The sequence below is a fragment of the Homo sapiens genome, chromosome 13 (genome assembly GCF_000001405.40).
Source record: "Homo sapiens chromosome 13, GRCh38.p14 Primary Assembly".
NCBI lineage: Eukaryota > Metazoa > Chordata > Mammalia > Primates > Hominidae > Homo > Homo sapiens.
In genome coordinates, this window is record NC_000013.11 from 27,451,242 (window position 1) to 27,475,486 (window position 24,245).

Sequence of the window (24,245 nt, forward strand, 5' to 3'; positions counted from 1 at the left end):
CTGGCTTCATACCTGGAATGTTTGGATTCCTGGTACGAAGAAAAACTAACATTTATTGGCTACTTGTCCACTGGAAGGCGTTGTCTTATTTCTCATTAACTCCTTGAGTCAGCATTACGTCTTTTATTACAGATGACACAACTACTAAAGCTTTAAATAGTTCTTTGGGAGCAAAGACGAAATCTCCATTTCCTTTTTAGCTGCTGGTAGCTCGACGCTCACTGTTAAAATAGGGAGGTAATGAAACAACTCTTGTGTGAGACCGAAAGTCCAGGTGTGCATCTTGGCCATTTCCAAGTTAATCAAGAAGAATTAAGGATTCATTTTATTCTATCAAAATTATTTCTCAATGCCAAGATATTTTGTGTGACGTAGATTCGGGGACAGACTGAGTAGCACAATACCTGGGAAAAGTTAGGTGCTCAGCAATTATAATTGCCCACATTTGTGATTGCTTTTGCCTATGTGCCAGACACTGTTCTACGCACTGAACATATCTCAAGTTATTCAATCTTCAGGACAACCTTATGAGCCAATTATTATTATTACCCATTTTACAGATGAGGGAACTGAAACAAATTTGCCCAAGGTCGCACAACTAGTAGCAGAATCAAGAATAAAAAAGCCAAAAAACCCCAAACCCAGGCAAACTTTAAATGTTCCTTGCATTGCTAGACTGAAGTAGTGAGAGAAACAGTAAACAGTACGAGTCCATGAAAACATTAAAAGGATGTGAAGTATGTACAAGTAACTGAAACATTTAATGCCCAAACTAAAGACTTAAAATTTGCTAAGGTAATAGCACAGGTAGATTCACACCAAGTAATCACTGGTAACTGAAGCTACCGGCCAGCATCCATTTGCAGTCCGTCTTTGAAGGCAGCTGTGTCCAGAGCAGGTGGTTTAGGAAGCTTTCTAGACTTCCATTGTCAGATGTCTCCACGCCTAGAAGATGGTGCTTTAGTGTTCCTGGGAGGAGACATGCAGAGATGGGGTGGCAATTACAGACATGCCCACAGATGGAGAGAAGCCATTTTTTTCATCTTTTCCCTTGAACTCTTCTTTGACCTCCAGCCGAAATGGAGCTTGGCAGCTTTTGTGGGGTTTTTTGTTTTTTTGTTTTGTTTTGTTTTGTTTTGTTTTTGGAGATGGAGTCTCTCTGTGTCGCCCAGGCTGGAGTGCAGTGGCGCGATCTCGGCTCACTGCAACCTCCACCTCGCGGGTTCAAGCGATTCTCCTGCCTCAGCCTCCCGAGTAGCTGGGATTATAGGCGCGTGCCACTGGGTCGGGCTAATTTTTGTATTTTTAGTAGAGACGGGGTTTCACCATATTGGCCAGTCTGATCTCGAACTCCTGACCTCAGGTGATCCACCCCACTCGGCCTCCCAAAGTGGTAGGATTACGGGTGTGAGCCACCACGCCCGGCCACTTGGAAGCTTTTAAAGAGTCATTGAGAGCCTTGAGCTGTGCTTGGTGGGGGCAGACTTTGAAGATCCTTGAATAAAGATGAAGAGGTTTGGGGAAATGCTATTACTATGCCACAGATCTTTAATAAACTACTCCGTTATGTACATAGAAGAGGACTCTGAGACATGTGTAGAGCTTTCCCAATTGTTATCGTTTCTACATATAATTTAACCCCCTCAAAAAATGTAACTCAATAAGACTCAAATCATGGTGACTCTAAAAATGCCTATATTTTCTATTACATAGTAATTTCTACGTTAATTTCCATAGCATGCCCATGAACTTTCTCTTTCAATGAATATATTGGTGATTTGCTCTGATGAAGGAATAATGGAAATATCCCGTCCCTCTCTTTGCCTGTTAGCTTTCCAAGTCCTCCCACTTTTCCCCAACGCCGAGGGGACCTTCCAAAACAGGATTGTATGTGAGATTTACTTGCTTAGCCCAAGGTCATTGAGGTACAACATATCTGATCCACAAAAGAATCAGTCTGTGGGTGATTTCTTTAAAAAGTTATGAACACTGGGCTGCGTCTTTATAATGCCACAATGACTAACAATTCATTTAAAAATCTAATACTAATAAAAATCCTGGTGGTGGTTGTTTTTTTGTTTTGTTTGTTTGTTTTTTGAGACGGAGTCTCACTCTGCTGCCGAGGCTGGAGTGCAGTGGCACCGTGTCGGCTCTGCAACCTCCGCCTCCTGGATTCAAGCAGTTCTCCTGCCTCAGCCTCCCAAGTAGCTGGGATTATAGGCACCCACTACCACGCCTGGCTAGTTTTTATATTTTTAGTACAGACGGGATTTCACCATGTTGGCCAGGCTGGTCTCGAACTCCTGACCTCAGGTAATCCACCTGCCTCGGCCCCAAAAAGTGCTGGGATTACAGGCATGAGCCACCATGCCCAGTCAAAATCTTGGGTTTATTTTGAAGATACGAAGCATCTTCAAACTTTAAAGCCCATGTGGGTTCAGATATTCAGCATATTCTTTAACAAATAATTGTTCATAGATTAGATACTCCTCCCTCTCCAGATTATAAACTCTTACCTGGGCAGTTTTGCTAAAATTGGGGGAATTTAAGTCTATTATGTGTGAGATCCTATGTAGTGCCAACTAAATGTAGCTGAGAGCAGTTATCTTAAACAGCAGCAACTCTGTCATTACAAGGCCAGTTTAATAGCCAAAAGGGTCCATGCTCTCCTTAGTTGATGTTTACAGACTTGTCAAGAGTCATAGAAACAAGGCATGCAAGAGGCTTTGGCTGAGTGTTAGGTAACTCGTTCAAAGCTTCCTGAAGATACTGTCAGCCCAATATTGTGTGTCTATTATTGTCTGTTAGAAACTATTAAAGCCGAAAGCCTTCTTATGAAATCTCTACCATTTTCCTCAGGCAGGACTATAATTAATCCATTCCAAACATGTAAAACATCTCTATATTTAAAACAAGCCAAAACAAAACTCGAGGCCAGGAGATTTAGCTTCTCATTTCAATGTTTTATAAGACGGGAGTCTTTTCCTTTACATAACCTAAATCCATCATGTTGCTACTTAGTCTGGTTCTGCAGTAGAGCTGGAGAACATCTGGTGACCACATCTGTGTTATAACCCTTTGTGTGCTCTCAAACTATTTGCTAGATTCAAAATAAATTTCCTTACCATGAGTGAGATTTCCCATAACATTAGACTCCAGATTAATCATTTCTCTTGTCAGAATATGATGGCCTCAGTTATTAAAACGTGGTGGTTGTGAATCAGCAAAATGTCTAAAATGAATGACATATTGTAATAAAGTTTTAAAAACTTTCATATCTGCCAAATAAAAATATTTGTATATGGAAGATCCACTTCTGTGAAAAGTCTCTTGTGCAACTGCAGAAGCAGAAAATAGGTTCAGAAGTTTCATTTGGAACACAACAGAGACATGTCTTTCCATTTCAGAGGTGTTGAGTTTTGAGGTGATTCAGTTAACTTTGATCGTTTTGAAACAATGAAAATAATTTCTATTACCATCATAGGACATCATGCAGAACAACAAAGAGCTAGTACAAAGTGTACCATGCTGACTGTTGTGTAGATAAAGCAAAACAGTACCAAATGATTAGTTAGCATTTTACATTTAGAATGCAACCCAGCCGGGCACAGTGTCTCATGCCTGTAACCCCAGGACTTTGGGAGACCGAGGCAAGCAGATCATGAGGTCAGGAGTTCAAGACCAGCGTGGCCAACATGACGAAACCCCATCTCTACTAAAAATACAAAAAAAAAAAAAAAAAAGAAAAAAGATTAGCTGGGCATGGTGGTGTGTGCCTGTAGTCCCAGCTACTTGAGAGGCGGAGGCAGGAGAATCCCTTGAACCAGGGAGGCGGAGGTTGCAGTGAGCCAAGATTGCGCCACTGCACTCCAGCCTGGATGACAGAGGGAGACTCCATCTCAAAACAAAAAAAAAAAAGAATGCAACCCTATACTATTTTTAAACACCTATGTGAGACGTAGTTACAAGGCTGTTTAAGGAGGGGAGGACTGACAGCAAATAGAATGTTTGTGATAAAATAAATTTGTGCTCTCACAGTTTCCCATCTTTGAGGCAAATGGAATTAAAGGCAAATTATTCCATTTTTGAAAGTTCCTCAAATGTGGAATTTCAGATGTTTACTGTATAGGGAAGTAGACTTTCAACTGTACATTGGAGTCATTGTTTTGCTGCTTTTTCACCTTGCAAGTTGCTAGGTTCTGCTGCAAAGATTTTTAAAGCCTGCTTTGTTAGCAGCCTAGGACACATCCATGACCTTACCAAAGTGAAAGTGAAAGCTCTTAGTTTTTCTTTTTTTTTTTTTTTGCAACAGTAAATCTACTAATTTTACAGTCAGTTGAACAGCAATAGATTAATTTGTGTAAAGTCTGCATTCACAAAGAAAATCTAAACTTCAGTGGCTTGAATGCCTGAAACTGCAGTGTGATATTTGAAGGGTAGACACTCTTACAAACTTGCCCAAGAAGGATGCAGGCAGTTCACTGTCACCTGCTTCTCGGCACAGGTGCTGACCCCTCGGTCGACTCGGGGCCTCCTGATGGGGTAGCAGGAAGGCTGGGCCTTTGTGTGCTACAGAGAACGCTTTTCCAATAACTGGGCTAGTTCTCTCCAGCAGCCACAGGAAACAGAAGAAAGAAGAGGTTAAGGGCCGCCACGAGGGTCAGAATGGGTTAAATTTAGTTAACATCAGAGGTTATAGCTTTTAACAAGAGCTTCAAGAAAACTTATTCGAAGATGCAATTTGTTTCTTCTTTGTCCACTGTTATTTTTTTCCCCCTATTGATAGTGACAGCTTAACAAAGTTTTTATATGCTAAAGGTTTTCATCCCTTAGAGAATAAAGAACTGTGTTCCTAAAAAGAGATGCAGGTGGAAAACTTCATAAAGCTTCCATGATTTCCAAATTGGGAGCTTTGAAATAGGCTCCCTGCTTGGCTAAGTCAAAAATAATCTGTGAAAAAAAAACCTCTATTGGAAATGGAGGAACGCTCCAGCAGTCAGATGCAGAGCTCCAACTTCTAGAAGATTCTTTGTGTGAATTTTTCTCTCGGCCATCCTAGTAAACTTTTCCCAGTTATTCAAAATTATCAAAGCGGCCTTCTCTGTAGGTGCATTTCTTCAAATTTAGAACATAATACTGGGCAGGACTAGTTGTTTATTGCATTTCTATGTAAGCAAAGAAAGATAGCCATAGATTTCTGCGTATGTCCTTTATGCCCGCTCTTAAAATTCTGTTACTCTGCAGTTTCTGTTCAAGAACTGAACTGTTACGGAAATTGGGCTTTCAAAAGAGAGTCATGTAAATTCTAGCGCTTCAACTGGAAATGTATGATTACCTAGGACTGATACTCAGTGTCGCGCATCATACTAAGGCCTTATGTGTTTTTCAGCTGCATTTCTCTGATAAATACGAGGCTTAGCTTTTGAATGAGTTTAATCATTTATTTAGCTGAGATTTTCAAATGCTGAACTTGGGTTTTCAGAGCCATGTTTCTACCTGACGGTCAGCAAGGAAAATGTAATCTACACATCTAAGTGCTGAACTATAATCTGCATTTGAAAATGTGTTTGTTTCAGGTATGGTGAGGACTCATTTAAGTATTATTTGGGAAATAAGATGTTTTATATAAGGCAATCTTCCAGATACCCTAAGCTTACCTCTCAAATCAATACAAACTTCTATATTTTTACCATTATGAATGAAAGTATTTTATATAATGTATTACAAACATTCTTGCTTTCTGAAGTATGGTATGATATTTTTTAAGAACTAGGAGTATCAGTCCAGGCATGATGGCTCAATGCCTGTAATCCCAGCAATTTGAGAGGCCGAGGCAGGCAGATCATTTGAGGTCAGAAGTTCAAGCCCAGCCTGACCAACATGGTGAAACCCCATCTCTACTAAAAATACCAAAAAATTAGCCAGACCTGGTGGCGCATGCCTGTAGCCCCAGCTACTCAGGAGGCTGAGGCAGGAGAATGGCATGAACCTGGGAGGCGGAGGTTGCGGTGAGCCGAGATTGTGCCACTGCACTCCAGCCTGGGCAACAGAGCGAAACTCCATCTCAAAAAAAAAAAAAAAAAAAAGAACTGGGAGTATCATGATTGTACATTATGATATGGTGACATACAACACTTCATACGTGTATTAAGTGCCACTAACTACATGGCCAAACCATCATGGTTTCTGAATTTGAAATTCTGCTTTTTATAGATTTTCCTACCCCTCCCTTGCCATTAGGCTGTCATCTGGCCCTTCTTGTTGCTATAACTGCCTACCCAGTTTTAATAGTTCTCCTCCCCTTCTAACGTTCTACTCAAAGTCAAATTCAGTCTCACCTGGCCTGATACAGGTATTGCCCAAAGAGTCTTCCAGCTTTCCATCTTGCCTTGATCCAAATCAGCCCCCACGCCACTGCCAGGATAACTTTGTCTTAGTAAAGCTTCATGCATACTATCTCCTTGAAAAAAAAAACAAAAAACAAAACTTTGGTGGTTTTCCACGGCCTGCCTGCCCTATTGGATTGTGATTTTCCACTCTAGTATTGATTGCTGTCTGCAACAGATCTTTAGCTGTTGTAGTGAAACAAGTCAATTTCACTACAACACTCAGGCCTTTTTCTAAGAGTCTCTGTTCCTGCACACAGCCTCTGAAAGGGGCACCTTGCACCTAAATGTCCTGTGTCCCACCTCCTCCTCTTGTACATTGTGATGAGACTGGGATAGAAGCCTGGCCTATAGGAAACTAGTTCACAGACTATGACAGCTTGCGAATTTGCTCTGGGAAATTAGTGTTGTCAGAGGGCTTGGGGGGGTGTCAAAGGGTACTTGTGGCAGAGATCCTAGTCCAATAGCCATCTTCCTCTTTCCCAGGTTTTATGCACACATGGCTGCCCAGAATAAAAACAGTATGTTCAGCCTTTCTTACAGAAAGGTGTGATCATGGGACCAAGCTCTGGCCAGCAATTTATATGAGGCAGATAATGGTAAATCCTACTTTATGCCTGTTATCCACACAAGGATTTCAGTTTAGATGACATATTATATGGTCACCTTAAATAAACAGGCATGGTATGTGCAGCTTCCAGGGAGTCCTCTTCCCCTCTTCCTCCTTTCTGCTGGCTGGAAAGCAGACGCAACAGCGGAGCTTCGAAGTCATCCTGGAGCATCCCATCATGGTCTTTGAATTTGCTTTTTATAAGGGATCATGGAATGGAAATCCTGCACAGGAGTGCAGAGAGATGGAAGGCGCCTGGGGGCTCACACCATGGCACATCACACCAGCCAGAGGCTCATTACCTCTGAATTTCTTGAATGTGAGAGAGAAACACGCTCTTATACTGCAGTTGAACTTACTCCTAACCAACATAGTACTTGAACTAAAAAGTCTTATAAAGTTGTTTCTTTCACGATACAAGCCAATGCCTTGTGCGTGCTGGAGTTCTTCAAGCAGATGAGTTGGTCCGCAGAGAGGAGAATGAAATAGACATGGACAAAGAACCATGCACAAAGAGGGGCCTCATGAGAAATCGGGGAAGGAGACTTCCTTTCTACCTTTCTAATTCCAGTTTCAGTGGGGTCTACTGGTCTTTGTTTTCTGTCTGTAGATAACTCCTAGGTGGATTTGTTTTTTTTTACAACTTTCTGTTCATGGCAACCACACCTCTCCAGCTTTAACTCTCTCTTCACCCAACCCTGTTGACCACCCAAATGACTGCTTGCTGTTCCCTAACTGTGTTTGGTACTTTTCTGTCTTTGTGGCTGTGTGTGCCCTCCCTTCTGCCTGGAATGCAGTCTTCCTGCCCTCACCCAATACCACCTCTCCATGAAGCCTTCCCTTAGCCCAGCGGGATGCTTCTCTCCTTTTTTTGGACCTCCGCCATTTTGTTTGCCCATCCTGTGGCATTTCTTTTTCTCTGTCTCTCAACATAGTTACTTGTATACTTGACATATCCCACCCTTGACATCGTCAGCTCCTTGAAGGCAGGGCGACACCTTTACTAATTTGTGTGTTGTCTGCAGCAGCTGGCCTGCTCGTCTGTGTATCCTTAGTGTACACTAAGCATTTGTTGAACAGTTGTGGACTATAAAATACACAACAAAGACTTTCGAATGGTCTCTGGATAAGAGAGAACAGGCTGGCCAGGCACCGTGGCTCACGCCTGTAATCCCAGCACTTTGGGAGGCTGAGGCGGGCGGATCACAAGGTCAGGAGATCAAGACCATCCTGGCTACCATGGTGAAACTCCGTCTCTACTAAAAATACAAAAAATTAGCTGGGCGTGGTGGCCGGCGCCTGTAGTCCCAGCTACTTGGGAGGCTGATTTTTCTACTCCATACGTCTACGGTCCTGTGATAGACAGACCAGGGGACTCCTCAGCTCAGAGTCCATGAGGCCAGAAGCTGACATCCTAAATTTCTATTTAGAATGAATTTAAGCAAGCCAGCCAAACAGTCTGCCGTGAAACTGTCGGGAAGACAAGTGGTGGGTTGGGGGGGAAGCCGGGTGCGGTAGGCTCACGCCTGTCATCCCCGCACTTTGGGAGGCCAAGGGCAGGTGGATCCCTCGATCCAAGCCTTGGCAACATGGTGAAACCTCGTCTCTAAAAAAATACAAAAACTAACTGGTTCCATATCCTGGACTCAAAGTTAATAAATAGATAAATAGGCCGGGTGCGGTGGCTCACGCCTGTAATCCCAACACTTTGGGAGGCTGAGGCGGGCGGATCATGAGGTCAGGAGATCGAGACCATCCTGGCTAACACAGTGAAACCCTGTCTCTACTGAAAATACAAAAAATTAGCCAGGCGCGGTGGCGGGCGCCTGTAGTCCCAGCTACTCCGGAGGCTGAGGCGGGAGAATGGCGTGAACGCGGGAGGCGGAGCTTGCAATGAGCCGAGATCGCGACCCTGCACTCCAGCTTGGGCGACACAGTGAGACTCCGTCTCAAAAAAAAAAAAAAAAAAAAAAAGAGAACAGGCTGTCTCTGAGTAGAGTATACAAGCTTTGGCGTAGGTCTTTGTGTCTTTTAGAGGCTTCCTCTTGTTTTTCTGGCTGAGTTGAGAGTACTGCATAGATGCCACTAGGTGTTTTACTGCAGTGTTAAAAGAGGAAACTTTCTAAATCATCATGGGAAGCTCTGCTGAGATAATAGGGGTTTTTGTTGAAATAAACTTCTGTGTTAAGTGTCATGTTTATGACTGTAGTAACATATAATAACTGAATTAGAAGCACAGAAAGTCTAAATAATTTATGAAAAAGTCATAGAGAAAGTCTGTGTCTCATAAAGGAGAAACAGTGAGGTCTTTGGATTTGCTTGCATTAGTTACTATATTATAGACTCAATAATCTGCAACCTACATTCAATATAATCATAATAATTGTCAAAAGGGTTATTAAATGATCACATATGTGTAACTCTGGTTGAGCTTTCTACATCCAAATCAGGAAGATCAGATCTGGCTCACAGTGTGTTAGAAAATCCAGTCTAGACTGGGCGTGGTGGCTCACTCCTGTAATCCCAGCATTTTGGAAGGCTGAAGTGGGCAGATCACTTGAGGGCAAGAGTTCAAGACCAGCCTGGCCAATATGGTAAAACCCCGTCTCTACTAAAAATACAAAAATTAGCCGGGTGTGCTGGCGTGTGCCTGTGGTCCCAGTTACTCCAGAGGCTGAGGCAGTAGAATCGCTTGAAGCTGGGAGGCGGAGGTTGCAGTGAGCGAGATCGTGCCACTGCACTCCAGCCTGGGTGACACAGCGAGACTGTCTCAAAAAAGAAAATCCAGGCTGGGCACAGTGGCTCCCGCCTGTAATCTCAGCACTTTGGGAGGCCGAGATGGGTGGATCACGAGGTAAGGAGATCGAGATCATCCTGGCTAACACGGTGAAACCCCATCTCTACTAAAAATACACAAAAATTAGCTGGGCGTGGTGGCGGGCGCCTGTAGTCCCAGCTACTTGGGAGGCTGAGGCAGGAGAATGGCGTGAACCCGGGAGGAGGAGCTTGCGGTGAGCCGAGATTGCGCCCCTGCACTCCAGCCTGGGCAACAGAGCAAGACTCTATCTCAAAAAAAAAGAAAAGAAAAGAAAAGAAAATCCAGTCTAACCACGTCTTTCATTTTCTGTATATAATAGGCAGATTTTATGACCGACTTGGACAAATGTTTTGGTATTAACACTCACAGTAAAAAACAGACACCATAAAATGGATTTACTTTAGTAATTATAACTGCAACTTCAAATTATTACTAGGAGAGCATGTAACTGAATAATGTGGGCTAATGAAAAAAATGTGTGCCTCACGATGATGCATCACTTAAAGGTTATAATCTATAATCACTGGCAATTCATCACGCCTCCTTTCACACTCAACCATCATGTCATGACACACTGGTGTGTGTGTGTCATTTGTGTTAATAATAGTTTCAGTCATAGAAGTTGCCACTGATTTTACCTGATTTTGCAAATTAGAATGGATTTAAAGTTATTCTGTCTGTAGTTGGCCTCTCGTTTACTTCTTTTTTTCTTTTTTTATATTTTTAGAGACAGGGTTTTGCTCTGTTGCCCAGGCTGGAGTGCAGTGGTGCAATCATAGCTCACTGCAGCTTTGACCTCCTGGGCTCAAGCAATCTTCCTGCCTCAGCCTCCCGATAGCTGGAACTACAGGTGCATGCCACTAAGTCCTGCTAATTTTTTATTTTTAATTTTTTTTTTGTAGAGAAGAGGTCTCACTATGTTGCCCAGGCTGGTCTCAAACTCCTGGGCTGAAGCCATCCTTCCACCTCACCCTCCCAAAGCACTGGGATTATAGAAGTGCACCACGGTGCCTGGCCCACTTGCTGCTTTAATGGGTGAGAGAAGTGCTGAGTGACAGTTCGCATCACAGGAGCTGCATCTTACCCCAAACCTGGTTAGGCGAGACCTTCGATTGCTTCCTGGACACCTGGAGCGTGGCAGGAGGGCCCACACATGAGCTTTGCCATGTGCGTGTGCATGCGTGTGCGTGTGTGTGTGTCTGCTCCTACAGGGTGAGAACCACTTTCCCAGGCAAAGGCAGTAAGTGTGGACAGAAGGACAAAACTGGGGCTGAGAAACATTAGCACTGTTATGTAACAAACTCAAAGACAAAACACAGGGCAGTAGAGAATTCTAAGCATGTGGAGAGGTCTGCGGAGCCACATGGCAGCCTGCTGGATTCGGAGTCAGGCTTTGGCTGGCTCATCTGCTGTGTGTTTTCCCCAGCGAGTCCATATCCCACAGGATTGAGGGTGCTCAGATTTTATACTTTGGCCTTAGCAATTAGAAAAACAGTCAATTCTCACGACATTTATTTTCAAAAGATGTCATAACTTTATTTTGCTTACTGCTGATATAATATTACAGAAAATGAAAATGAAAACATAGCTAATATTGCATTAGATTGTATATCCGTTTTGGTGAGAGAGATTTTATAAATTCAGTCAGTGTGCAAATGGAATTTGTTTTATTTGTTAACACACACAATAAAGCTTACTATTTCACAAGAATACAGATTTCTGTTTTTTACTGACAATTGTCTAAAATATTCTCATGAGAGGGGCTGGACTAGAGCTAGCACTTTCTTTTTTTTTTTTTTTTTTTTTTTTTTTTTGAGACGGAGTCTGCTCTGTCGCCCAGGCTGGAAGTGCAGTGGTGCTATCTCGGCTCATTGCAAGCTCCGCCTCCCAGGTTCACGCCATTCTCCTGCCTCAGCCTCCCGAGTAGCTGGGACTACAGGCGCCCGCCACCACGCCCAGCTAATTTTTTGTATTTTTAGTAGAGACGGGGCTTCACCATCTTAGCCAGGATGGTCTGGATCTTCTGACCACGTGATCCGCCCGCCTCGGCCTCCCAAAGTGTTGGGATTACAGGCATGAGCCACTGCGCCCGGCCGAGCTAGCACTTTCTATACAAATTACTCCTAAGTAAAGTGTCGGAGTGTCTGAGGTGCTCTGTAGAAGCTGGGTCTGGAAGTTTGTCCTAGAATCCTCTAGAATTTCTTTTCTTCCATTCGACTCTTCAGTGAATGTCCTGTCTCTCTAGTTTAGGGTGTGGGGGTGCATGTGCTGCTACTGAATAATTCTTACTTGCCTGTAAGATACTGTACTAAATGGGAATTAGGCTTCTGAGGAAAGAAGCAAAATGATTTGGTGACTTTTGTCCCTAATTCCGTGACAAATGACCCATGGCTTTCCTGAGGAGGCAGCACACACAGCCGTAGGAAAGCTACAAATGAGAAATCTGTGCAGGAGAGGAGCTGCCAACAGAAAGGACTCGTCAGCTGGAACCAACAGTTAGCAAAAGGCCCTGGGACAGGGGACAGCAGGGTTCCATCAACCCGGGGAAGCAGCCCTCTGAGCCCAGCAGCCTGTGGTTGGAGCCACAGGCGGCCCAGAACCACGTGGTGCTCTGGGTGGTAGCATTGTATACTCTGTGCTACATTTGCTGGCCAGCTAATTTTCAGCTTCAGCATCTTCTTGGAAATGATACCGTCACAGCCTCACACCTCCTGTGACCCAGCAACGTGTACACATTGGAGGGAAGTGAGCTGCAGCAGATTAGGGTGCTCAGCCAGCAGGAACTGCCTGGCCTTTCCCCACCTGCAGGGCTCCCCCATGTCCACTCCCCCTTTGGCCTTGTCCTGCCTCTAAGACAAGGGCTAGGTCAGGCCATTCCTGACATGCCTTTTCAGGGGCACTATCTCTCTGGTCTTTCTGATGGAGGAATTCTGTCTTGTTTGTGGGAAAGAGAATTCTGGATCAGAAAATGGCCTCAACACCCAGGAGTCCCGCTCTAAATTAAGGCCTCCTACAGATCCCACTTAGCCCCAGCCTAAAAGCAGAATGGCTTCAGGACATATATTAATAAATAACATGGGCCGGGTGTGGTGGCTGACGCCTGTAATCCCAGCACTTTGGGAGGCTGAAGCAGGCGAATCACAAGGTCGGGAGATCGAGACCATCCTGGCTAACACGGTGAAACCCCGTCTCTACTAAAAAAAATACAAATAATTAGCCGGGCATGGTGGCGGGCGCCTGTAGTCCCAGCTACTTAGGAGGCTGAGGCAGGAGAATGGCGTGAACCGGGAGGCGGAGCGTGCAGTAAGCCGAGATCGCGCCACTGCACTCCAGCCTGGGCGACAGAGCGAGACTCCGTCTCAAAACTAAAAATAAATAAATAAATAAATAAATAAATAAATAAATAAATAACATTACACATCCCTGCACACACAATGCATACAGGATTTACCATGTGTGCCAGTCAGTTTTCCAAGCACTTTACATATACTGACTCATTTAGTTCTCATTAAAAGATCTATAATTTAGTAATATTGTTTTTATTATGTATCCTTTCATTGGTAAGGAAACTGAGGCCAGAAAGATTAAGTAACTTGTCCAAGGTCACCCAACTAATAGGTGGCAGAGCTGGGATCAGGATTTAGGGAATCTGTCTCCAGAGTCTATGCTCTTAGCTACTGCTCTATAAACGGTAGCTAAAATAATAGTGTCCTAGTTATCTGTGTAATAATAATAATATATTCTTATTCAACTGAATATATACCTAGGTATTTCTTAGTGAGTATAATCCCAGAACTTCCTTGACATCTCAAAAATACTGTTAGAAAGGTGATCATGGAAATCACCTACCATGAAGGAATATTTATACCAGTATTTCTTTCATTCTCAAAATTGTGTCTAGTGTGGAGGAAAGAACTCCATAGTGGGAGTCAGAGGACCTGGATTTATTTCCCAACTCCATATTTTTACCTGCCGTGGGTCCTTGAGCAAGTAATTTTGAGGGTCTGGTCCCTTGCTTTTTCATCCGTAAAATAAGATAATAATGTCACAGAATTGCAACCGTCAAAAAGATAAACTCTTTTGAAAACTATAAAGGAATACACAAATGTAAGAGAGTATTAATCTCTTGATCTCAGGTCTCTCTAAAATACTTAATCTGAGGATTTTTGACTTCTATGTGAAAACTGAAGAGTCCAGGCCGCAAAGGGTTTCCACCCAGCCTTCCCGAAGAGATATATAATAATGAATCTCACAACGCCTATCACTGTAGTTTGTTGTATAAAATTATATTTAAGCAGACTATGTAATAAATGGTATAAAATTCTCAATCTATAGAGCAGATTCAATCATGTTCAACCAAAGCTTTCATTATTAGGATAATGCCCAGCCCACAGCACTTTGGGAGGCTGAGATAGGAGGATTGTTTGAGCACAGGCGGTCGAGGCTGCAGTGGGCTATGATGGTGCCATTGCACTTCAGCCTGGGTGACAGAGCAAGACCCTGTCTCAAAAAAATAAAAAGGGAAAAGAGCTCTGTGACTTTCATTGTTAGGATAATGAAAGCTTTGGTTGAACATGATTGAGTTAGGGTGACTGCTAAAGGTCTCTGCTGAGTATTGGTGATAATCCACAACTGAAACTGATGGTCCGACTCTGATCACTGCTGTCCAGAGTCTGAGGCACATGAGGAGGAAAATGAGGTAAACAACATTCCTCTTAGAATGTTGCTTCAAGAAAGCTCAAGTTTTGGCAGTATGCCCTAGATGACACCTGCTTGCACTGCCAAGTGGCTGCCATTTCTTCTGCTCTTCCCTAGGAAAACAGACAAGCTCAAACAACAGGATGTGCGTATGGTATTCTTAGAGGGGTGGACGCTGAGCAGCTCTCCCGGGCCTGAGGGTCCTCCCGGCCTGCCTCCAGTTGGCATGTTTCTTGAACAGGAGCTCCCTGACAACCTGGGAAAGAGCTTGGGCTTTGCTATCTGGGAAAACTGGGCTTGGGACATTCATTAGCTGTTACTTGGGCAGGTTATCAAATGTTTCTCACTTGTCTATAAAATGAAGATAGTGATTTTAACATATAGCTGGGATGTCTCCTAAATGTTAGATACCACATTAGTATTATTATTATTGCTTTATGATAAAATATTACATGAAGTGCTGTCGGGGGCAGGTTCAGGGTTTCTATAAACTGGTGATGTTGGAACTGCTACAAAAGAACCATGCACCTTGAGTCTGACCTGTAAGAAAGCCTTCAGCAGGACCACAGTGGAGGCCAGGATGGATGAGGCTGAGAGGAAGGTGAAGTTTACGTTTGATGGCCCCTGAAATTGCCTCCCTACAAAGGGCTGTCTTTCCTCTCCCACGTTTTAATGTTGTCTTCCCACCCATAACTCGCCCTTATCTTCTCTTCTGTCTGCATTCTACACCCAGGAAAAATTTCAGGTCCGCACCCGGGGAGATGGTTTTTGACAGGTTGATCATTTGGAACTCTTCCAGTTACATTCTGAAGACATTGCCAACTTCCTAAATGTAGGCCTGATGCCATCCATGGTCCTCTGCTGAGGGTCACATTCCTTCCAGAAGGTCTCAGCTGACAGCCACGGTGTGGCAGTGCTGCCAGAGATCTTATCTGGTGATGTCTGAGCTTTCTGGCACTGTTCTTTTGTGTGGAGGTGGGAAGTGGGGAGGAAGCTGATGAGAAGGAGGGTGGAGACAGGCCGGGTGGTTAGAATTGTGCTCCCAGAGCACAGAGGCTCATTTGAAATATTGATTCCTCTGTGGAGGTCACAGCCCAGCCTTTGCTGTGCTTTCAGAGGGGCTATTTATATATTTTAGTCTTTGTTTCGGAGTTGCCTCTTATATTGGTGACACTCCAGCTTTGCTGAAGTCGTGTTTAAAAAAGAAAGTAGTAATTATTGATTGCACACTCAAATGTGGGGACCAGAATGAACGCAGACAAAGACTTGCAGAGAAGCATTCTACTCCCACTGCTTCAAGGGGAATCTGGAATCCTAAAGCAAGGTTCTTAAAATAAATAAAGGCTTCCATGCCCCTGAAATGCAATAAGGCTATCTTGGGTTTTCAGGTCCATCTTCTGACTTTTGCACTGTGATGTTTTCATCTCTCCTCCTTCACGTGGAACGAAGCCAGGGTGGGGGTGAGGTGGGAGGGGAGCAGAGGTAAACTGAAAGGTTTGATCTTAAAGGTAATCTTTCCTTCTCGCACTCCTGAATTCTCTGCCTCCCTCCCATTCCTACCTTGGCAGTTTATTTACCAGAAGGCTGGAAGCAGTGTCAGAGCCTGGAGATGTCATGCCAGAGACTCAGGACATGCCCAAGTGCTTTCATCCTGCAGCTGAATAAGCAGCCCCAGGTGAGCCCAGCCTAAGAATCAGCAGAAGAATCAACCTTCCGAGCTGAGCACTGATCAATCCTTGTAAACATAAGAATTAATGGAATGGTGGTCGCTTTTTAAAAATTATTTTAAAAATAGAGATGAGGTCTCACTATGTTACAAAGGCTAGCCTCAAGCCATCCTCCTGCCTTGGCCTCCCAAAGTACTGGGATGACAGGTGCGAGCCACCTTGGCCAGCCAGTGGTTGCTTTAAGCTATAAAGTTAGATTGTTATGTAATAATAGATAACCAAAACATAACCCACTAGACTACTGTTAAGAAGATGAAACTATTACTCTTTTGGAAAGCAAAAAGGTAGTACTTACCAAAATCTAAAAAGATATTTATATCCTTGGAAGCAGAAATTGTACTACTCTAACATTATCCTAAAAATTATTCAACAAGCAAAAAACCATAGTATGAAAAGTGTTCAGTGTAGTACTATTTTAAAAAAAATTTACAAATAATCTAATGGAGTGAAAATTAATTACAGGTTTACTAAATTATGATACATCAACACATGGGAATGTTGATGTACTTTTTAAAATAAATCCCTCCTGCGCAACTAAATTGAAACCAGTGATTTAAAAAAACATATTTTAAATATTTATTTTTACTTCGAGAATACACAGTTACATTTACTTTCCTGTCTTTCAATTTAGAGCCCAAGCTTTTCTTCCAGTGTAAGTCTGCTGCCTTGACTTCCACATTATCTTGTGCATAATCACATCTGTACACTACCATGGTGTAAGAAATTGAAGACATTTGGGGATCTATATGAATGCAGAATCACCTAGATTGCCCTCCCCCCAGGCTTTTATAGTTATCTCACTATATCCATTTCAGTAGCCTTTATTTTTAGTGACTCATTTTTATTGAAATTTGCAACTTAGTCTTTATAATTTTGTTTTGCACTCACATTTTAATGGTTTATGTAATATTTAATTAAATTTTGCAATTATAAAATCAAATATGATAGCAAGAACAGGTATGGGGACAAACACAACAGACTTTTGGTTAGAAGACAGTCCAATAGGTGAAAGCACAAGTTGGGGAGGGTGTGCACCAGAGCACAGCCTCCGGTCCTCCAGTGTCCCTGACTGGGGGCTGTCAGAGAGAATGCTCAGCAGAGGCCATGGAGATTGGCAGGTACCATGAGTGGCTGGTTCAGCGGAAGGCAGTAAAGAGGCCTTCTCCTCTAAACGTGAATACTGTGTAATATAGAAGCATTATGTTATAATGTTAAGCAAAGAAATACAAAATGTAAGAATGTGATGGCAAAAAGTAGTAAAAAAAAAATGTAACTTACTGAAATGCCTGGGGTTTGGTTTAGGGCCTGCTGCTGGCTGCACAGAAAGCCAATGACTGAGACGATGATTACTGCCAAAGAAGAAGGCTTTAATTGGGTGCTGTAGGCGAGGAGGAGAAGGGAGATCAGTCTCAAATTCATCTCCCTGACATACTAAAATTAGGAGTTTATATAGCAGGGAAGAAATGTAACAATGTGTTGGAAAACAGGAACTAGGGAGGGGCCTGACTCTCATTGTCTGGATGCAGTGATCTGGTGAGGTTGAGATCTTTGATACTTTTTGAGAGGCCTGGGGGTCCTTTCCTGAGGAAGGAACTCAGATAAAACAAAAGTAAATTTCAAGCTTTAAAGACCCACCCTGTCACCCAGGCTGGAGTGCAGTGGCAGGACCTTGGCTCACTGCAACCTCCACCCCCTGGGCTCACGTTATCTTCCGCCCTCAGCCTCCTGAGTAGCTGGGACCACAGGTGCACATCACCACACCCAGCTAATTTTTTGTGTGTTTTTAGTAGGGACGAGGTCTTGCCATGTTGCCCAGGCTGGTCTCAAACTCTTGAGCGCAAGCAATTCTCCCACCTCGGCCTCCCAAAGTGCTGGGATTATAGGTGTGAGCCACTGCGCCCAGCCAGAAAAGTCCATTTCTATGTTTATCCAAAAGAACTATCTCTGGGACGATTGGGTCGGTTTCATAACCATGTAGACAAAGACTGGGATGGTTTATCTCAGGAACCTAGTTCCAAAAACTGACCAAGAAAGGGCTGTTTCCTATGGCAATGCAAATACATACTCAAACCTGAAGTATACCAGTTGTCTATGATAGATTCATTATATGGTTTAGGGCAGGGCTAAGAAAGAACTGTGTACACCAATCCTATTAGAAACTTATGAAAATAACTTATAAAGGTTGTGGAAAGTACTTACTTAGTGAATCTTAATTTTGTGAAACATGAGTGATGTGGGATTTATTTATACAATTATGTCTGTAATCCCAGGGATGAGTTTTATCCAGTTTTCTTTATTTGTAAAATGGTAATGGTTTAGTAGCCCCTAAACAAAATCCATATCTTTCTGACATTTAATCACATGAATTATTAATCACATAGATTATTCTTGTGATGCATTTGTACCTTTTTTGATAATTTTTGCACTTTTTGGTAGAGAAATTTAGTAGAGTCTAATTTATCTTTACAACTAGAATAAGGGGTCATGTTGAAATTTATAGTTTGGCTCTGGAGGTATCAATTCATATAGATTTCAATATCAATTTCTTTAATATTTGGATAAATTATGACCATTAAACTAAAAATGTAAATAAAATTCATTCACTATTCAGTTACTGAGCACCCACTATGTTTCAAATCCTGTTTTGGCAGCTGGGATTAGAAGAATGTTACCGGTCCTGCCTTCAAGGGACTTGTAGAGTTAAACTAATTTCTACCAACCTTGAGTGCTGAGGCACGTCAAAGTTCAGCTCTCCACCCCTTTTGTTTTATGGATAAGGAAACTGAAGCGTAAAGAGAATGAGCAACTGTCCCAACATCAGGCCAGCTTGGATCTGCCAATTTCATTTTGGTTCCTGGCTTACATGAGTAAGGAAAACTAGTTAACAAAGTAGCGTGGGGTTGATTTCCTACTATATAACATTCTGGAAAAGGCAAAACTATGGAGGCAGTAAAAGGATCAGTGGTTGCCTAGGGTTAAGGAGAAGGGAGGGATGAATAGGCAGAGCTCAGGGAATTTTTACTGAAGTAAAACTGTTCTGTAGGACACGATAATGGTAGACACATATGTAATGTATTTGTCAGAATGCATAACATGCAACACCAAGAGTGAACCCTAATGTAAACTATGGACTTTGGATGATAATGTGTCAGTGTAGGTTCATGGATTGTAATAAATGCACCACTCTGTGCAAGATGTTGATAGTAAGGAAGGCTGTGAGTCAATGGGGTCAATGCTATATGGGAACTCTGTACAATTTTGCTATGAACTTAAAACTGCTCTAAAAAAATAAAGTCTATTAAAAAATAGCATGGAGTTCAATTATAATTAATCATCACTTTAATTTTTTAAGGAATTGGTTGGAATCATCTGTTTGTTATTTAATTTGTTTCTTTTTTTTTCTTTTCTTTCTTTCTTTTTTTTTTGAGATGGAGTCGTGCTCTGTCTCCCAGGCTGGAGTGTGGCACAGTCTCAGCTCACTGCAACCTCTGCCTCCCGGGTTCAAGTGATTTTTGTGCCTCAGCATCCCAAGTAGCTGGGATTACAGACATGCGCCACCATGCCCGGCTAATTTTTGTATTTTTAGTAGAGATGGGGTTTCACCATGTTGGCCAGGCTGGTCTTGAACTCCTGACTTCAAGTGATCCACCCGCCTCGGCCTCCCAAAGTGCTGGGGTTACAGGTGTGAGCCACTGTGCCCGGCCTGTTATTTGTTTTTATATATGTATTATATATGGAAGTTTTCAAAATAATAAATCAACAAAAGAGTAAATGTTGCAAGCTGAGCATGGTGGCTCACATCTGTAATCCTAGCACTTTGGGAGGCTGAGGTGGAATAATTGCTTGTGGGCAGGAGTTTGAGACTAGCCTGGGCAACATAGGGATACTCCATCTCTACAGATAATCTTTAAAACTTAGCCGGGCATGGTGGTATGCGCCTGTGAACCAGCTATTTGGGAGACTGAGGTGGGAGGATCACTTGAGTCTAGGAGGTCAAGGCTGTAGTGTAAGCTGTGATTGCAACACTGCACTTCAGCCTAGGTGAGAGAACAAACCTGTCTTGAACAAACAAACAAACAAACAAACAAACAAAATAAAACGAGTAAAGGTTGCAGGAAAGAAGACAGGACAGTTGGCCTTAGAAGGAAGGCGGTCCTACTCTGTGGAATCACACAGATCTGAATTCAGCCCAGTAGCCACCCCTCCTGCTAACCAGGGACTGAGAGTGGTCTGTCTGGATACAGATTGTTCATCACCCTCAGTGTGATGGAAGCACCGCAGGAGAACTGGAAAAGGGGGCCAGGAATCTTGTCTTCAGTTTCTTCTCCTGGGAGGGGTAACAAAAAAAGACCAGAAACCAATGGGATTCTGTTTTTGCTTTTTTTAAATAGTTGAATGGGTTACCTTTAAAGATGCTTAGAAGGTAGAACTTCCTCCAAAATTGCTTTATTTTAGCCTTGAAAACACATCCATTTCCTTAAATCCTTTGAGATTTATTTTTCTTTTCTTTTCTTTCTTTCTTTTTTTTTTTGAGACAGGGTCTCACTGTGTCACCCAGGTTGGAGTGCAGTGGTGTAATCATGGCTCACTGCAGCCTTGACCTCCTGGGCTCAAGTGATCCTCCTACCTCAGCCTCCTGAGTAGCTGGGACCACAGGAGTGTGCCACCACGACTGGCTAATTTTCTGCTTTTTGGAGAAATGAGGGTCTCCCTGTGTTGTCCAGGCTGGTCTCAAACTGCTGGCCTCAAGTGATCCTCCCACCTCGGCCTCCCAAAAGTGCTGGAATTACAGGTGTGAGCCATTGCCTCCTTTCTCTTTTTGATTGAGAATGCCCAGTATGCTAGTACTAATGTGCAGACCCTATGGTCTCTGCAGCATGGCCAAGGCAGCTCCAGGGCCTCCCCTCTGCCTGGATTGCCTGGGACTCATCTAGGAGAGTCTCAAGGAAGAGCCGTCTCCCCCATAAGGACTCTGGGTCCATGGGCACCCCCTACAAGCTCATGAGAACTGCAGACTCTCAGGCTCTGCAATCCCCAGACTACGGAGTCAGAATCTGTGTTAAAGGGTGAGCAGCTCTGCTGAGGACGCACCTGAGAGGCTGGCCCAGGCCTGTGCACTGCTTGCTGGGAGCAAAGCATGTCATCAAACCAAACTGTGTCCATTTGCCTGTGTGTAACAGAAAGCCAAACATTGAGTCACTAGGTTTTGGCTGTGAGAAAGGTTCATTGTGAGTTGACTGACAAGGAGACAGGGGGCTATGCTCAAATCTGTCTCCCTGAGTTGGGTGCTGGGTTGGGTTTTTATAAGCACAAGGTAATGAGGTGTGATCTGATTGGATCTTGCAATGAGGTGATGCCAGAAGGCATGATCTGACTGGATCCTTCCATGGAATGTTTGCATCTTAACTCAATCCCAGCTCCTTAAGCACTTAGGTCCCACCAGTGGTTACATGCTTGGTTCATCTGGGCATGCTCAGGTTATGTGATCTTCAACCTGGGAGCCCGTGGCAACTGAAAAACTCACAGGTTTGTTAAATGAAAGTTGAACCAGATTGGTTTGATGGGTTACCAGCAGAGGCCTTTGGGGGTTGGCTGGAGCAGCACCACCCCTCTGTGGTGTGCACCTGGAGCACCCATCCACATAGGCCCCAATGATAAGATAGCGTTAACCACCAGCTGTGCTGTAGCAACCCAGCCCCTGTGGATGGCCACATAGTGGGTGAAGAAGTCCCAGGTTTTAACCCGGGCTTCTTTATTGGAAACTACATGCTTCTTCTCAAGTGGCTTTGTGGGCACAGAACCCAAGAGCTGAAACAATTCTTTCCCAAAAGAGGACACTGAGATTATTGGGCAGGAAGGAAGTTTTGGGCTTACTGAAGAAGGCTTGTCTGTATAAAATTGCTACTATTCGTGACATCTGTTCTTTAGATTATGTTTCCTGTGCTCTGTTTGTCAACTTGGAGCACCATAATGCACTTTGATTTATGGCTGCTGTCCTTAAAACCCACCTGAAAATAAGAACCCCCTCTTAACCTGTGAACAGAACTAGAACCCTGCCCCAATAACAGCTAATATTAATTTTTATTTAGTGCTTGCCAATCATCTCACAGCTAGGGGTGATGAAAGTGGATTTAACCAATATGCCTTAATGCTACTGTTTATGTGTGTCTGGCACTGTGCTGGGTGGTTTCCATTTTATTCCTCATCCTGAAGATAGCCCTGAAAGATATTGTTTATCTTGATTTTTCAGATGAGGAATCAGGGCTCAGAGATGTTAAATAGCTTGCCTGGTATCACAAAGCTAACATGTGATTGGCTCAGATTTCTAAACCTGCCTCTGTCTGACCCCGATGCTATGTCCTTCCCACTACCCCACACTGCCCTTCCAGCAAAGGTAGCATCCATGTGGAGGCAAGAATTGGGCTCCAATTTGCAGGAAGTGCAGATATGTTGGGGAGAGACTCAGGATATCAGAGCTGGAAGGAACGATTCAATTGAGGGTTTTCCAACTTCACGGTCCACGGACAACCATCTGGCTTGCGTGGATAGTGTATGATCCCCTAGATTTGGGAGTGTCTTGTGACCCCCTAGATCTGGAGAGTAGTGTGTGTCCCCCTGGATTCAGGGGTAGTGCATGATCTCCTGGATTTTTGTATAGATGAAGAAACAGGCCCAGACAGGTGACACTGCTTGCCAATGGCCAGAACCAGTTGGTGAAGGACTCAGACTCTCTGACTGTCTTCTTTCCTGAGCAAAATACATCATTATCTCTTCCAGAGCATGGACAACTGGTTGTGGCTGCTCACTTTTCTTCCAAATCTGGGGTTTAAGGCCTGAGTTTTTCATGACCGTGGCATTTGATACAGAGATGTGCTGGCTTCTGAAACAGAGCAGCCTCAGCTTTCCTGCTGCTTCATCTACTTCTGAGATAAAGACAGCCTAATGGGCATGGTTGCTCACACCTGTAATCCCAGCACTTTGGGAGGCCAAGGTGGGAGGATCACTTGAGGTCAGGAGTTCAAGACTAGCCTGGCCAACATGGTGAAACCCCGTCTTTACTAAAAAAAAAAAAAAGAAAATACTGAAATCAGTCGAGTGTGGTGGTGTGCGCCTATAATCCCAGCTACTCGGGAGGCTGAGGCAGAAGAATCACTTGAACCCAGGAGGCGGAGGCTGCAGTGAGTCAAGAACCGCCACTGCACTCCCGCCTGGGCAACAGAGTGAGACTCTGTCTCAAAAAAAGAGACAGCCTTATGGTTTCGTTAGAATGGGAAACGGCAGCAGGGCTGAAGGAAATTACCAAGACTAGCTGCACACTTGCTTATGAATCAGAACATTACACTTCTATGAGACCAAGTCTCATATATGCATTGTTAAGCTGGTACAGTATTTACTTCCACTTACCTACTGCCTCACCGTCATGGACCAGCCTCGGATACTCCCCAGCGAAAACATCCAGGGAGAGCGTGGCCGCCACGGCACACCTCAGGCCTTGGTCAGGGACACAGAGAAGGAAGAGGGTGCTCCCTGGGAAGGGCCTCCTCTTCCTCCTGGAACACAGACCCAGGAAGGTCTAGTGAAGCTCCGGAAGCCAAATCTCCCACGCGCCCACGTCTGGGTACCCACCCACGACCAGCATCACTTAGTCATTTTTATATTTAAATCGCCAGAAGCCTGAAAACTGTAGAAAGGACTTGTCCCAGGTGATTCATTGGGGATCCTAGCCACAGTCTTTTACTTTCATCCTCAAAGGCCTATGATGACAAACATAGCCAGGCTCAGCCCCAGCCCACCTGGCAGGTAAAGACAGCTAACGGCATGCCGTGGAAGCTCAGATGCCCCCAGTTTACGGAGCTCCAACCCTCTGCTGGGTTTGTACAGGAGCTCACGGTTGAAAGAGGCAGCCTCCATTGGAACAAACACCCAATCAGACATTGTGGAAAACAGAGAACATCCCCCGAGGAATTTTTAGGTGGGACTTCCTACCTAAGGAGATGAATACAGTA

The 24,245-nt window shown here is 43.7% G+C and overlaps 2 annotated features.

Annotated features, from left to right (window-relative positions):
- Window positions 4,412-4,531: an enhancer, noted in NCBI's record as "active region_7507". NCBI's record gives its function as "activates an Ori minimal core promoter by ATAC-STARR-seq in GM12878 lymphoblastoid cells {active_cell/tissue: GM12878}" and the evidence as "EXISTENCE:reporter gene assay evidence [ECO:0000049][PMID:35858748]".
- Window positions 8,171-8,465: a silencer, noted in NCBI's record as "tiled region #13742; HepG2 Repressive DNase unmatched - State 25:Art, and K562 Repressive DNase matched - State 25:Art". NCBI's record gives its function as "represses a minimal TATA promoter and a strong SV40 promoter by Sharpr-MPRA in HepG2 and K562 cells {active_cell/tissue: HepG2 | K562}" and the evidence as "EXISTENCE:reporter gene assay evidence [ECO:0000049][PMID:27701403]".